General features: G+C 38.8%; 3 annotated features.

Annotated features, from left to right (window-relative positions):
• Positions 12,983–14,323: an enhancer, noted in NCBI's record as "VISTA enhancer hs1161". NCBI's record gives its function as "enhancer in: forebrain[6/7]" and the evidence as "EXISTENCE:transgenic organism evidence [ECO:0001131][PMID:17130149]".
• Positions 12,983–14,456: a biological region, named in NCBI's record as "VISTA enhancer hs1161".
• Positions 13,955–14,456: an enhancer, noted in NCBI's record as "NANOG hESC enhancer chr1:88026835-88027336 (GRCh37/hg19 assembly coordinates)". NCBI's record gives its function as "activates a minimal SCP1, AML or CMV promoter by ChIP-STARR-seq in naive H9 embryonic stem cells {active_cell/tissue: H9 hESC(naive)}" and the evidence as "EXISTENCE:reporter gene assay evidence [ECO:0000049][PMID:30033119]".

Consider the following 17,419-nt stretch of genomic DNA (forward strand, 5'->3'; position numbering starts at 1 on the left):
GTCCTTCCCTTCAAGACAGCTGGTTCTTTTCTGGGCCAGGGTGTCTAGTAATGTCATCTGGGAGCTAGGGTCTGGAATGGTGCCCTTTCTTGCTATAGCTGAGCTGGTATCCAACTTGCAAGACAAAATTCTCTTTGCTTCCCCATCTCCTCTCCTCAAATGGAGGGAAGGCGTCTCACCCACAGCTGCAAGCTGTGCTGTCTGGGCTTTGGAGAGGGATCGTGCAAACACTCTCTTGGCCACCCTGGCTGGTGTCTCACTAGCTTGTGTGTCTATCAAGTAAACTGGCTCTGAGCTTAGCCCAGCACCAGGAATTGCCCCAGAATTGCAATCTTTGTGGCCTAGACTTCCTTTCAAGTTTTTATAGGGTCCCAGAGCACTTTAGCCCTCAGTGACGAGGCTTGCCACAACTCAGACTCCAACTACTGGGATAAGTGATTATCCTCTGGCTAGGATGGCTGTAAATGCTCCCTCCATGGTCACTGGCTGAGTTCTGCCTGGTGTTGCTTTCTGCTGTGACAGGCAGCACTGGGTTCCAATGCAAAGTCCCACAGTCACTGTCCTCTCCCTCTTCCAAGCACACAGATTCTCTCTCCATGCCACACAACTGCTGCTGGGGGATGGGGGAAGCGTGGGATCAGCAATTCAAGACTCTTTCCTACTCTCTTCAGTACCTCTTTCAGTGATAGGAAGTTAAAACCAGGTACTATGATCACTCAGCTGAGAGTGGATAGTTGTTCAATTTGTGTTCAATTTGGTGTTTCTGTAGGGAGGATGATTGGTGGAGGCTTCTATTTGGCCATCTTTCGCTGCATCCTCTTCCCTAATTTTTAAATTTTTTGTAGAGAAAGGATCTTGCTATATTGCCCAGGCTGATCTCGAACTCCTAGCCTCAAACAATGCTCTTACCTTGGCCTCCCAACATGCTGAGATTACAGGCATGAGCCACCATGTATGGCTGCATTATATATTTTGTTTGTTTTCTTTCTTTTTTTTTTTTTTTTGAGACGAAGTTTCACTCTTGTTGCCCAGACTGTAGTGCAATGGCGCAATCTCGGCTCACTGCAACCTTCACCTCCCAGGTTCAAGCAATTCTCCTGCCTCAGCCCCTCAAGTAGCTGGGATTATAGGTGCCCACCACCACTCCTGGCTAATTTTTTGTATATTTAGTAGAGACAGGGTTTCACCATGTTGACCAGGCTGGTCTTGAACTTCTGACCTCAGGTGATCCACCGCCCTCGACCTCCCAAAGTGCTGGGATTACAGGCGTGAGGCACTGTGCCCAGCTGGCTGCATTATATTCTTTTTTTTTTCTTTTTCTTGTTATTTATGTATTTTTTTCTTTTTCTTTTTTTAAATTTTTTTATTTTTTATTATTATTATTATACTTTATGTTTTAGGGTACATGTGCACAATGTGCAGATTTGTTACATATGTATACATGTGCCATGTTGGTGTGCTGCACCCATTAACTCGTCATTTAGCATTAGGTATATCTCCAAATACTATTCCTCCCCCCTCCCCCCACCCCACAACAGTCCCTGGAGTGTGATGTTCCCCTTCCTGTGTCCATGTGTTCTCATTGTTCAGTTCCCACCTATGAGTGAGAACATGCGGTGTTTGGTTTTTTGTCCTTGTGATAGTTTGCTGAGAATGATGGTTTCCAGATTCATCCATGTCTCTATAAAGGATATGAACTCATCATTTTTTACGGCTGCATAGTATTCCATGGTGTATATGTGCCACATTTTCTTAATCCAGTCTATCGTTATTGGACATTTGGGTTGGTTCCAAGTCTTTGCTATTGTGAATAGTGCCACAATAAACATACGTGTGCATGTGTCTTTATAGCAGCATGATTTATAATCCTTTGGGTATATACCCAGTAATGGGATGGCTGGGTCAAATGGTATTTCTAGTTCTAGATCCCTGAGGAATCGCCACACTGACATCCACAATGGTTGAACTAGTTTATAGTCCCACCAACAGTGTAAAAGTGTTCCTATTTCTCCACATCCTCTCCGGCACCTGTTGTTTCCTGACTTTTTAATGATCGCCATTCTAACTGGTGCGAGATGGTATTCTTAAAGAAGAATAAAATCTCAGAGTTGGGAAGGAATTTTAAAGGTCTTAAGAACTACCTAGTCTTCAGTTCTAATGTCTGTAATAGTGGTAACTACCAGAGGTTTAATATAAATGTTAGATTTTAAGCATATATTCTTCACTTTGTTTTTAGAAAATTTACCAAAACAGCAATAAAAGGAAAACACATATGTAACCTAGGTGCTTTCATGGTTCCAGCTCCTGACAAACCACCGTAACTGAGGAATTAAAGCTGTAACAAATGATTGAACAGCTGTATAGTAAGAAATAAATTGACAATTAGTTCAGAGAAATTTTTGTTCTTGATATTAGATCTTAGCTACTCACATGTCAGGATTTGGTAAATAATTTAAAAAGAATGATCATATTGAGAGAATTTGAAAAATGTTACAAACTACCTACTAGGTAGCCCAAGACAGTGTTAAAATAATCACGACCATAGCATTCATCAACTCTAGGCATTCCCTGACTGGATATGAGAATGACTGGCTGAATATGAGAAGGTCCCATTCTGTGTACCAAGATGACTTTCTCAAACACTGTTTCAAAATAGAAAACCTGGATGGGATAGAAAGTTCCCACAGGTTCTGAAACTCTCACCAAGAGCTCTTGCAAAATTTGGCAAGAATCATAATTTACATTTACTTAACCGTTCTCTGCCAATAGAGCTGTAGTCTCTGCTGTTGATGTTGGAAATAAACACTCTAAAGTAATTTCTTTTTACCATCAACATTTGTAAAAGAGAGAGAGACTCAAATGCCTCAAAACAATGCTTATCTAACAAAAATTATTTTGTAGAATAAATGTTTGCTTCTAGACTGAAAACCTGCCACATTTCATGTTAGCCTAATATGTCTTCAAAGTGACAAACTACTTGACAATTGACAAATGATTAACAAGAAGAAAAAAGTGTACTGAAACACTCATCTGTGGAGATTTTAAAAGGGGAGGAATGGATAGATAAAGACCCAGGTTGAACTGTTTGTCTTGCCTTTCAGAATAATTGTATTAATTATTTTGGGAACACTTGAGGGAAAACACTGAAAGGCAGAGTCCAGTTGGCTTCATTTCTCATTAAATTCTTTAAAGACCTGCGCAATTAATCTTCCAGTTGCTCTCTTCATTCTGTGTGCATTTCTTCTCTCTTTTTACCAGGATAGCTGGTTCTGAGTGCTACCCTAGCCCAGGCCTCCCTTTCCCACCAGCACATCTAGGAGGCTGTGTCTTTTTCTTACTCCAATATCCAGAAAAGAGAAGCTCATTGCTTATGCTGCAATTTTGATAACCTAACTGGCAGAACAGTTATTCAAATTTTAAGCTTCTGAATGCAGCAAGATCAACCTGGCCTATCCACATAAATAATTTTGACATGATAAGTATGCGAGAGCGATGATAACCGATAAGTGAAGCAATTACCTTGCTTTTTTGGATTATATTAAATGAAGATTCTGATAGAGTAATGAAAAGAGACAAAGCAGACAAAAAGTCGGCTGCAGAGCTTTTGGGCACTGTGTTATCTCTATTATTCCATATTGAAATAGAGAAGCTATCACCAATCATGCATTTCTATGTAACTTCTGGCTTCTAACGGTGAACAATGAATAAATTGTCACAAGACAGTAACTGATAAATTGGGATTGGCAGTGCTTTTTAAAAAGCATAAATAAATTTACTGGTCACCTTTTTCTTTTTCAAAGCAGTTTTTAAGGGGCTGTTGGAGGTGGGTGGGTGGGCAGAATCTATTACAACTTATGCCTATTTCCTACCCTTATCATAGCCCCTTCTCTGACACTATTCTTTGTTTAGTAATCAATTTTAAGGAATCAAGAATGTATCCTGGCATTATTAACACATTTCACCAATCTATGGCCCTCTTAATTGGGTATGTGGCTTGAGTGTCTGGAATTCACAACATTAAGTTAGTGTAAAAAGTTTGTTTTTGGGAAAGCAAGTCTTTCAAATAAAGGTAAGTATAAAATATGGACACTTATTTCCATGAGCCTTGGGTTCCAGCAGAAAGAAAGTTGTTTAACAGCCTACAAATGCTTTCATGATGGCCCAGTCCTGTATTTGCACATAGTTTGGAAATAATATTCCCCTTGTCGGAGAAGGTAGCAATAGCCACTTCTATCATCATAAACCTCTTAAATTACAGAGACCCATATATATGAGTAAATGAAGTTTTCCAATTCAAATAATTCCAACTCAATATCCTGGCAAAGTCTGTTCACCCAGCAAGTTTGCAGGTTTAATGGTGACTTGTTTATTTATTTATATTTTCTTTTTCAGATGGTCTGTGGCATCATGAGAGGGCTGGGTTTAGGAATGAATAGGATTCAGTTCTTTTCTCAATTACAACCTGGACTGCCTAAGCTAGTTATATTAACACACTATCCACCATGGTGTGGAGGAGGGAGCTTGAATATGGAGGTGGAAGGGCAGTGTTCAAGTCTCAATGCTACCACTTACTTGTGGGAACTGAGTTTTACTCTAAGTGTCTCATCTGTGAAATGGGACTAATACACTTTGAAGGAAAGTATGGTAGTGACAGTGTATTCTAAACAATTAAGTACTGTTCAAATGTTAGTATTTATCCGGCTGGTGAATACTGTCTTAGTTTGTTTTATGTTGCTATAAAAGAATACCTGAGGCTGGGTCATTTATAAAGAAAAGAGGTTTATTTAGCTCACCATTCTGCAGGCTGGAAAGTGCAAGAAACATGGTGCCAGCATCTGCTCAGCTTCTGGTAAGGGCCATGTGCTAGGTCAAAACATGGTGGAGAAGGTCAAAGGGGTTGTGGACCTGTGCAAAGAAAGAAAACCCAAGGGGTTCTGGCTTTCTAACAACCCACTCTCAAGGAAGCTAATCCATTACTGAGGGAACTAATCCAGTCTCGCCAGGGTGAGAACTCACTCACTACCTGGAGAAGGGCACAAACCATTCATGAGGGATCCACCCCTGTGACCCAAATACCTCCCACAAATCTCACCTCCCAAAAATGCCACATTGGGGATCAAATTCAACCTGAGTTTTGGTGGGGACAAACAAACCATTTACAAACCATAGCAAATGCCACATCTCGAGGTATAAAGGAAAGACCAGTTCCAATGTTGCCATTGGCTTTATCAAGAAAGTTGGAGTTTCAGGCCAGTCAGTTGTAATGGCAGGGTGGGCTGACAGTTCCATGAAACAAAGAGAGTGGGAATAAGTATCATTAGTCTTCTGCTCCTACAAGTAAGATCATTTACGTTTTCTCTCATTAAAAACAGAAAAAGAAAACCATGCCCATGGTCACTTTTCAAAATGAAAGGGCCAATAAAGAATTTATTTAAAGCAAATCACATTTGATTAAATTATTATCATTATGGTGTTTGAAATAACATTTGTTCTGTTTATCAGTCTCCAGTCTTACTGCATCAGCAAAGAATTTGCCTTTGAAGACCAGGAAAACAACAACATGGAAATGCAGCCCAGTGCCTGCACCAGACTGGATCCTTGATTGTTTTTCGCTAGTTCTTTACTACATGCCTGCAATTCTAGAGCTCAAACTTCTAGACCTCAAGTTATGCAAGTTAATGAGAGCTAGGCTGAGAGAATCAGAGGATATAGGGGAGAAATGGAAGGATGAGAAAAGGAAATATTGACATTGTTAACCCCAATGCAAAGTCTGGTTTTACATTTGCTTGGCAGTTGTTTCATTTTAAGAACACATTTAGAAAGCTGACTTCATAAAACTATTTGTTACCCATCCTGGTGTCTTGAATGTATAATTTCTTCCCTGCAATAAAAAAGATTGGTTGTTGGTGTTACTTGAAATAAAGGCAAAGATTTTTTTGTCAATTTGTACATAACTACCACTAGCCTTATCCTCAAATTTGAGAAATCAGCAATCTTAAAGTATAATTTGACTATGATTGGTCACAATGAGAGAGGTAGGTATTCATCAGAGGGACACAGGTAACCAAAGAGGTAGGTATTCATTAGAGGGGCACAGGTGTGCCCCTATGGCACAATGCCAATTGTGGTGCTTTGTCAAGAGCAGAAACCAGGAGCCCCCAAAGGACTCCCCCTACCCACACCATCCTGGCCACTGTAGAACCCCATGCCTCCTCCAGAGCTCCCTGCCACCCAACAACTAAAGGTTAATGATGGGCACACCTGGGGTCTCCATGTGTCCATTCTGATTGGTCATTACCTGTTTCCTACTTGTTATTAATTATATAAACATCATGGATATCTATTTAGTACTACAAAGTCAAGTGCAAAGAACAGACATCTATATTTCGGCCTACAGAAATGAACTTTTGTCTGTTGCCTTTAAAAGAAGTCGAGATAAGCCTAATAGAATCCACAAAGGCAAACTTAGGGACATTTAATACTTTCAGTCTGTGTATTTTATGGGCTACTCTGGGTATGTTTGATAAGGATTCAGAAGCTTACCACTTGAATGGGTATTATACACATGGAGAAAACCATAATCATAGGATTTTTGCACCCACTGACAAAGATCCTTTAATAAGCCAAATATCCTGCAGCCCTTTTTTATGGTATTATGGCTTTGACAACTAACCTTAAAAATATGCAGTAGATCCAAAAGAATTAAGGTTGAACCTGTCCACACCATTTAGAAGAGCATTGATGTACTTACAAGATCTGAAAAAAATCTACGTCAGGCTTGTACATGTCCCAGAACATAAGTAGGGTTTCCATAAAATCTAGACAGTATTCCAGGACAGTCTAGGATCCCAATCAGTAACTGTACTTACAGATTATGTACTTTGTGAACATTTTGTATTGAAAGAGGAATACAAATAAGAACTTCTGATGAGGTAACCATGGATCAACCTGGCCACTACTGAATCAGTGCATCCTGAAGTCTGAGGATGTGTCTCCGTGCAGCCCAGGAGATGCAGCTGGCTCACACCTTCACTGAGTTCATCCACACTGATTTGGTCACATGGAAGGTGATAGCTGTGGTGTGGGTAGGACACAGTAAGTTAGGAAGAGGTAAGGATATTTTTTCCCACTAGGGAGAGTATAAATATAAGGATACCATCTTTCCTTCTCCCTCAAGGGTCCATATTCCTTATTCCCATTGTCTAGCCCACAGCAAACATTCAACATTTGTTGAAAACATAAGTATTCTTGGAGATGAAATGTTAAGTCTTTTTTTCGTACTGCATGCTGTTTCTACTTCTTGAGATGATCTTTTTCTCATTCCCTTTATGCCAACTCCTTCTTCTTCTTCATTATTTATTCATCAAATATTTATTGAGTGCTTAGTGTAAGCCAGGAACTGTGTAAGGAACTGGGATAGTGCTCTGAACTAGACCTGGCTCAAATATCACCACCTCTGGGAAGCTTTCCCTGAGTTTCTTGGGCAGGAGTTGCCCCATGATAATTTGTTATAATACTTATTACATTCCATTTTAATTCGTGGTGTCTGGTTCTTTCCCCAACTCTAAACTGTGGTTTTCTTGAAGGTGAAGAGTGGATCTTGATTATCACTGTATCCTCATAGCTGAAAATGAGTGTACATATAGCAACCCATCAAAACATTACTGGTGATTGTGGTACGTTGATTGCAAAAATGACCAAGATTCTTTTTTTTCTTCTTTCCAACTTTTATTTTAGGTTCAAGGGGTACATGTGCAGATTTGTTACATGCATAAAATGCATGTCATAGGGGTTTGATGTAAAGATAAGTTTGTCACCCAGGTAATCAGCATAATACCCAATAGGTTGTTTTTTCTATCTTTATTCTCCTTTTACCCTTCATCCTCAAGCAGGCCATGGTGTCTATTGTTCCCTTCTTTGTGTCCATATGCACTCAATGTTTAGCTCCCACTTATAAGTGAGAACATGTAGTATTTGGTTTTCTGTTCCTGTGTTAATTTGCTTAGGATAATGGCCTCCAGCTCCATCTATGTTGCTGCAAAGAACATGATTTCATTCTTTCTTGTGGCTGTGTAGTATTTCATGGTGTATATGTACCACATTTTCTTTATCCAGTCCACCACTGATGGACATTTAGGTTGATTCCATGAAAAATGACCATGATTCTTCACCTCTCCCTGCAGCCATGACCTTGTCATATAACCTGGTAGGTCCTTCCTACAAGAGTAGAGCTTTATTTTCCCACTTCTGGCATCTGGGTTGGTATTGTGACATGTTCTGGCCAATAGAAGATCGCAACAATGATAGTGTGCCAATTCTGAGCCTACACCTCAAGAAGGAGCAAGTCTGATCTAGCCTGGTGATTGATGAGAGATCCATGGCTTGGTTACCTTTGCTTCCCCAGTTAACAGCCAGCCAAATGCCATACATGAGTAAGGCTATTCTAAGCTAGCAGCCCTCAGTCAACTCAACAGCTGGACACAAACAAATAAGAATGCACCACTAAGATATGCTGAGCCAGGCACAGATTAGCCAACTATCTGTTTGATCTGTAAACTCATGAAAAGTAATAAATGCTTATTGTTTGAAGCCAGTTTTGGTGTGATTTGTTATGCAGCAACGTCTAACTAGTACGGTGCTTTTTCTTCTTCTAATTTTTTTTCTTCCTCCTACTTAAAAAAGAAAAAAAGATTGTGTATACTCTTGACTAGAAAGCTTAGCATTTCATATGGGGAAAAGCATTCAAGTGTTTGTCTTAGGCTAGCCACTGCTGATCTTGGCCCTTATAAAAATCATGAACCTACTGAATATTAGAGCTGCCAATGAGCTATTTGTCATCTTAACATGACAATTCTTGAAAAGGAAACTGAGTCAAAAGAATTGGTGTAAGTTACTCAAGGTTGCCCAGCCAATTAAGTAGTGCAGACTCTATCACAGTTTATTTTGATGAGGTACCAGAGAAGAACCACTGGCCTCCATAGCTATGGCACATTTCTCACTTCCCTACCAAGCTTTGATCACTAAAGTCTTTCATTTATCCTCTTTTTTTTAAAGGTGCAGGTGGCACAAACTGTTCATAAACATAGTCCTAGATGCTATAAGTATCCAAGAATGAGGTTACCAAATTACTCCATTACTAAAGAAATGCAGTATGTATATTTTCTTCTGCCTCATTTATGGTGTTTTTGGATCCTCACTGCAGACTACTCTGATGCCAAGACTTCCCCAACAGACAGATATGTGCACATGTATGCCTCCTCATCTCCAAACTTATTAGTGTAACAAAACATCAATTCCTCAATTGGCCGAATGATGATTAAATTCTGACTCAGAGGTCATGATCACTCTCCTGTTTTGTTTGCCAGAGGAATTTCATTTGCTGCTGGATCATGTGATTCTTGGGTGACCAAAATCAAACAGAACTCAAGCCCAAGACCTCTTCAAGGATAGTTATTTTTCTTAGTAAGAAGCTAAGACCTTCATCCGAAAGATATTCTGGGACCTAACACTTTTGTATACGACTTAGTTGAATATAATGGAAACAACCTTTGCTGAGTAGGTAAAAGAGTGATGGGCTGGAGGTTGGCAGGAAAGAGCTGAGAGTTGTAGGCGAAGCATGTTAATGTCGATACATTTTTTTCCCAATGCAAGTCAATGGTGAGGAAGCTAGTATGTATACTTAGTCAACATTTATAATCGACGGCAGCTATGAAGGAAAAGCATTTGGTATTGATCTTCTCTTAATCAGAAATCAGAATGAATTTTATCTCATGACAAGGTAAAATTAACTATTTTGTTAATTACTATAATTATCTTTCCCACATTTATTTTGACAGCAGTGTCAGGGATAGAAAACTATCTCCTTATATTGCCTCTTGCCTATTATGAATTACAAATTCTTACAATTTTGATAAATGATTTCATTCTCTCCTTTACACTTGCTTTGGGGCCTTTTGCAATACATGATTTTTCAGAGAAATGCCTTGGTGATTAAAAAGTAAAGAAATTCAAAGAAAGGTCATATCAAAAAGACTACTACATGGAGAGGCCTTGGAACTGCCTGCCAATGACAAGAAGTCTCATTTTTCCTTGCCTTTTCACTCTAAGGGTGTTCCAGAACTCAGGAATGCTGGAAGCAAAAATTAAGAGATCGTTGTGATTGGTTAAGGATTTTTCCACCCAGGATTACTGTAAATGTGACTTTTAGCTAAGGCTTAAATTTTCTTGATGATACGTGATAGTTAAGACCCATTCTTAAGTAAGTAGAAGAAAATTTTCAGGTCACCATGAACAGTCAAACCTAGGAATAAATCTTGGTACATTGTTCAGGCAAATCTCCACCAGTTTTCATAGGGACCTCAGACCTCCCTGACTCTACGGTTGTTCCTCTCTTGGGCTTTACAGACCATCCTTCACTTCCCTCTTCTGGTACCTTCAGAAGGCAAAGAGCTTGGATAAGAGAAAGAGCCATGAACTCTGTCAGGACCAAAAGGAAAGATACTGTTTGTTAATGTAAACACTTTATTATCCAGGTAGGCATGACTTCTCTGAGGGTCATGCTGGCAGCATTTTGCCAAAGAACAAATTCTTCACTAAAATGCTAATCCTCTGAAATGGGCTTGTTTCATCCAGCTTGTGAAGCAGGTAGAGTAAAGGTAAATGTCAAGCTAGCTGTTATTTTTATCGTGATGGTCAGAATATAATGAAACGTATTCATGCATGCATTTATTCACTTATCAAACAGTTATTAGGCACCTACTATGTGCTGGGCATGATGGCAGGTATTAGGGGGATCCACATTTTGCCTTGTGAGACTCTCAGACCATTAGGGGAAGCAGGCACATAAACAGAAGATTACAGAACATTGGCAAGAACATTTTTTTCAGCTCTTATTGGCTCCCTTTTAGTAAAACTAATTTCTGTGACTTACTTGGTATTCATGGGAAGATGGATAAAGTTTGCTTAGGAAACCTATAGGTTGGAGGGAATGCCCACAAAAACATAAAGAGATAAGCAGGAGGCAAGCCCATGTTGCCACAAGAGAACATCAAGATGCACCTCATCCATATTTGGGAGTAGCAGGAGGTAAGAGCAGAAAAGGCTGGCTGAAAGAGATGACTCCTGGAATAAATCTTAATATAAATGTGAATTGATTTCCAAAGCAGTACCACTAACACAGAGAATATTAGAGAGAGACTAATGTTGCGTCTTCATGGAACCTCTGTCCTTATTAAGCAACTCTACATATAAGAGCATCAGGGTCAACTGAAACATGTTTCAGGGTTGTCCATTTTATACTCTGGCAAGTCCATGGAGAATTTTCTGTAGACTGTTCAACTTGTTCATGCTGGCAAGTCAATGAACTAATCTGGCCTATTCAAATGGGAGTATAAAGTGGTTTATATTGTGTTTTGTGGTTAGTTTTCATTTCTATTATTATTATTATTATTATTAGTGTTCTCTCTTACAGATGCTTGAGTGAAAAATTTTTTTTGTTTCCTCCCTAATGGCTCAAGACAAAAGAGAATTTTACAAACAAATAAAAAAACTTTAAATTGCCCAACCCACAGAAAATGTAGAAAGGCCTGTTCCCTGATAAACACATTGGCATTTTCATCTGGAAGATTCTTGTTTTCTAAAGAATGGCTTTCTTGTTGTTCCCAAGTAGTTCTACAGTACTTTACAATATCACACAAAAGACTGAAAAGATAGGTAATTTTCTCAGTTAAAATGAGACTTTAAAATTTCCTTGGACTTTTTAGTGATTTTTCTTGCAGATTTTGCACATTTTATACATTTTACATTTAATATACTCACGAAGGCAGTTCTGGCTTATCTATGAGTAACTAGGCTCTACCTTGGCTCAGACATTCCTAAATCCATCTATTTTAAGAATTTTAAAGTACCTCTTATCATTTCAGAATTCAGATTCAAAGTCAGAGAAGGGAAGAGAGATATTTGTTCTTGGCTTCAGTCCCATTCTGAACAATATGAGGTTGATATGGAAGCTTAGAGAACGAATTTGGGATGTGTATAGATTTTATTTTAAAACGACTTACATTTACTTACATTTCCTTTTTCATGAACAAGCAAATGGTGGTTTTGCAACAGTCCTCAACTAAGAACACATCTATCGTGAAAAAAACACTCTCTTAGCTCTTAGTGGTCTCTTTTAATAAAATAAAACTGTGTCTTGCTTGTTTGTGGGAAGATTAAGATACCTTGCTTAGAAGTTTTCTTGTATGGAGAGACAGTAAAACACATGAAGCCATTTGTCTCATGACTACTTGGAAAGTTGGGTACCTGGAGAAGCGAAGCACAGCATCAAGTCCTGTTTCCAGGTCAGAACTAAAATGCGCTGGGCACATTAAAGCTGCCAGGCTCCTTCGTCTCTGAAAAATCTAACAGGAATCCTTAAAATTACCAATTTGGCTCTCTATTTTGGAGTTTTACCATTTCTAGAAATAACTAAAATGATTCTACGGAAAGATTATACTTCTGGGGGCTGGGCTTGGTGGCTCACGCCTGTAATCCCAGCACTTTGGAAGGCCGAGGGGGGCGGATCACGAGGTCAGGAGATCCAGACCCTCCTGGGTAACACGGTGAAACCCCGCCGCTACTAAAAATACAAAAAATTAGCCTGGGGTGGTGGCAGGTGCCTGTAGTTCCAGCTACTCGTGAGGCTGAGGCAGGAGAATTGCTTGAACGCGGGAGGCGGAGCTTGCAGTGAGCCGAGAATGAGCCACTGCACTCCAGCCTGGGCAACACAGCGAGACTCCATCTCAGGAAAAAAAAAAAAAAAAAAGATTATACTTCTTATTCTTAGACCACGTTGTTTGACCGCCGCAGCTCGTGTCTTCCTCTGCAGTAAGAGGTAGTAAGGTAAAGAAAGGGCTTGTGGCGTTTCCTCACTTCATGCCTAATGTTAACCTGAGAGCATGTCTTAAAAGTTAGTCCTACCAAGGAAGTGTCCATGAGTGTTTCTCAGGTCTCCCTTTGTGTGTCCTGTGGCTGAATCCTGTTGGATCTCACAGCGCCTGTGGACCCCTCTTCCCAGCAAAGCTGCACTTGCTAACATCCTAATAATTTCTTTCATGGTCAGGCTTTTTTATTTCATTAAGGCTCTTCCTCCACAGGCTCTTGTTTTCAATAAAGTTTTTCTTCAGTGAGACGTGAGAAAGTGTCCTTTCGTTTTCTCTGTTGTTTGTACTTCTCTTCACCATCACCATGGGGCCATTTCAAACTATCATTTTTAAAGGTCACTTGTTTTGTTCCATATGCAGTTGAGCCTGACAATGGGTTAATGACACCCTAATAAGCTGTATTAAAATTATATCCTATATGATCATAAACAACTATTGAGTCAAAGGAGAAGAAAGCAAACAAACTCCTTCCAAGAAATCAACACTGAAGATATTAGTTAGAATGTTAAAGTATATTAGCCAATTACATAAAATCCTTTTATATTGCCTTGCTTCATTTCAAACATGGCATGGGCTATTTTGTCTGTGAACTCAAGTGGAACAAAAAGCTACAGAATGCAATTTGTGTCAGGAGCTGGACTACAGAAGGACAACTAATTCTAATTAGTACGAATTCCCCATAGGCCAGAGGGAGGCCAAGTGCAGGAACCAACTGCCTAATGCTGTTTCTATCTTGCAACAGGTGGGCCAAGGCCTTCTAAAGGTTGTCATGGCAATAGCTAATGGTAGACCTTTAGCCGGACACCAGTAATTAATTGCAGGCATGTCCAGCCTTTGAATGTGATATCTTTTAATACATTGCTGAAATAAAAGAAGATTGGCTCTTCTAATTGGTTAAAATTAAAACAGCAGAAGCCTTTGCCAAGAAGGACTGCAAAATAATGCAAGTCTGATTTCAGCCTCTCAAACTTAGATTCTTTGCCTATCGCTACATGAAGGAGTAAAGAGAAAGGTATTTACTTCTGATAACACTAATATTCTGTCAAATGTAGGCTCACCAGCAAAATATTCATGTAATGCACTGTTAGATGATGCCTGAGACCTTTAAGAAGCATGTCTTCAAAATTCTGACAAATTATCAGAAATGTTTATCTGATTTCCCAGTCATGGGTGTTTATAGCCTACAGAGAAGATATCACACACTTGGTAGTGATTCTATGTGATGGTCCTATGCTTGAGGGGTGACCTCCTGAGCACTGTTTAGTTTGGGGATGTGGCCAAGGACTGGGGAGTGAGGGAGCTTCTTGTAGGGTGAGGGGCCTGAAAGAAGGCACTGCACCGTGTGCTACACAGGAGTCTGCCGATGCCCAGCTGCAGGCTTAAACACCACTCATGGCCTGCACTGGCTAGCCATTTGAGAAACAGGGCATGGCGCAGTTTTAACAAAGTGCCTGAGAATAGAGTGAAAAGAAAGAATACTCTTTTCCATTTGGGTTGTGAATTGTGCTGTTCCATATTCTGGAATTATAAAATAAAAATAACCATAGCAGGAATAATAGCTAAAATGTATTGAATCTTACTGTGTGCCAGGCATTGTGCTGAGTACTTTGCATGCGTTATGTTATTTGATTTTCATAATGACTTTAGAAAGTAAGTACTATTATTATTCCAGCTTTAAAGGTTAAGAAACTGGGATTAGAGAAGCTGACTTGCCCATTGTCTTCCAGATGTTAAGGAACAGAATCAGGATTTGAATCCAGGCCTGACCCAAGTCTTGAGCTGTTAACAAAAGAGAAGGCCATTAAAAAACGAGTTGAGTTGTGTTATTTATTATAGAAAATAACCAAACTCCCTTTTAAATCATTCAAACTAAAACATATTATGTAATCTTTGAACTCTTAGTTATGAATCCTGAAACTGAGTTCCTGAACTATGGTCCAACTTATTGAAATTATTTTTTCAAGATACCTTTTCTTAAATGCTTATATTTCTAATTACAGATCCATTCCTCCTTCTTCCCTTTCTGTTGAACATAATGGGAAATGCAATTATTCTTTTCCCTTGTTCTAATGGTAAAAAAGTAAATAAATGAGGAAAGCTCTGTCCCCCTCTTCATTATCAGCCAAAAAACACATTTGAAAATTTCCAGCCACTTTCTTTTATGTCTGATATTTCAAAAAATAAAAGTTTTAGTGAAAACAAAGTCAAATTTAACCCATTTTGAGAAACTGATGTTTTTAAAGTATGAGGTTCTAAGCAAAATGATGCTGAATTATATATTTATGGGGATTAACTTGTTTTCGTGTATAGTACAACTTTCCTGAGTAAACAATTTCCTTTTGGCTCCTTTGGATGACAAAAATATACGTAGCAGTATTTTTTTTAGAGATCTCACTTCTTTAGGTGAGCACTTGAGTTGGAAATATTTATTCTTACTACTCTCCAAATACAAGTGAATACAAAGTATAAGTGGAAAAGTAAAATTAAGGCATCTTTGGTAGTTCAATTCCCCGAAAAAATGTCTTAGCACAGTTCTTTGGCCACCTTATTATGACACGTTAAGTGGGCAACAGCTTCTGCACTATGCAGGACATGTCCCCTATATTGGTATATGTATGCGTTCATGCATATCACCTTTACTTACACATGTTCAAAACACAACAGTTTTTTGTTCATTGTAGCAGATGGAAAATTTCTGGGCTGTGGACTTCAAAAGGAGAAAGACTTTGAAGTGTTACTGCTTTAATACTGTTCCTTCATTAGCCCCTACTGCTTGGTAAATAAGGCAGCCATTGGGTTATCAATGGGTTTACTTTTACCAAACAATTGGACTGAAAATACTCCAGAGAGTTATGGCCTCCCTTACCCTGTTACTAGAATCATTGTATTAATAAAATGCTTCTAACATGACCTCCCAAGATTTTTTGACTTATTGCTTGGGTGGCACTAGAGGCTAAAATGGGGCTCCTTTTAATAACACATTTGCATAAGTTGATCTGAAAGATCCCCATGCGATTACATGACTCCAGGGTTGGCCTGTCATCTCAGAAAAGCCTGAGGTACTCGTCCCAAAGAGATCAAAACTTAAGAATTAACTAGTCTTCATAAAATGAGAACATCTCTAGGAGCAGTAAAACAAATGATTATCATTTCTTTTTGGCGTTGGACTATGCCAAGCTAGAGAAAAACAGAGCTTTCAAACGTTGACAATCTGGTATATTGAAGTATGACCATTATTTTTTATTTTCCACATTTTTGGTCCAAAGACAGTTCTGAGTAATTGATTCCCATAATGAGCTATGGTTCGTTAGTCAATTTAATTTATAATTGAATTGGATGGATGTAACTCTGTGTAAAATTGTCTCTGAAGAATCTGTTTTGTTCGTCTGTTCAACTTCTGACAGGGATGGAAGAAAATCTAAATTATTCCCTCCTGCAAGGGGGAAAAATTCAGAGTCTCAGCCTCCCTGGTGAAATTAAGAGAAAAAATATTTTTAATAGTTGCCATGCAAAAATATTATGGCTTTACTAAAATTTATACAAGCATGTCAATTAACACATTCATGGCAAGGATGGTGGATTCAGGAATCTGAGTAAATGCCTTGAGGCAAAGACCTTTTCTGAGTACTGGGAAGGATTTCTCATTATTAGAATGAACACCAGGTCTCTCTGCACTTATTTTTATCAGTTATTGACAAAGATTGTCTTATTGCTACATAAATATGCCCAGAAAACAATAGCTCTAATTCTCCAGGTGTTTTGCAATCATCACAACTTGTATTTCCTATACATTTCCAATAATGGCATAATTTGGGGAACAATTATTAAAATAATCACTTAGAGCTTTTTTTAAGTTTTGAAAGACTGTCAGAAAATTTTTTAACTTTAATTGTTAACAACAGGCTTTCATTTTTGCTCAAAGATTTTCTCTTATTCCCGAAGCCCTTCACATTTAAAACTTTTACAACCATCTTAGCACACACTCAAAACAAAGCCATAATTATGTAAAAAGAAATGTTTTACAGTTAATGCCATCTAAGACACTCACCAAGTGCCAAAATGCATAGGATTTTGGTAAAAGGCAATCTGTTCTTTGAGGATAATGCATGCAAACTACTCTTGTGCAAAACCTGAGGCAGGAATAGTATACTGCCTTAGATCACACCTATGGAGCTGACTTTGATACTATGCCCAGAAGTGGGTTACAGGCTGTGATTTGAATGAAGTTTAATCATTTTTAGAAGCGAAGGGCCTTTAGGGTACTCTTGTTCCATAAGACTTATTATATCTAAGAAAGACAAAGGCGTAGGCTTTATTCTTCCTTGTTAACAATGGTAATACAGTAATGATCTTTAATGATGGACTGTTGTATGAAATAGACTGACTGGGAAGAAAAGCTAGATGAAAACAGCTGTCATTTTATATCGCCAAACCCTGTTCTCACATGGACAAAGAGAGATCATGAATTCATGTCCCATAATGTGATGGAGAGGTAT

This window comes from Homo sapiens, chromosome 1 (assembly GCF_000001405.40).
Source record: "Homo sapiens chromosome 1, GRCh38.p14 Primary Assembly".
Lineage (NCBI taxonomy): Eukaryota > Metazoa > Chordata > Mammalia > Primates > Hominidae > Homo > Homo sapiens.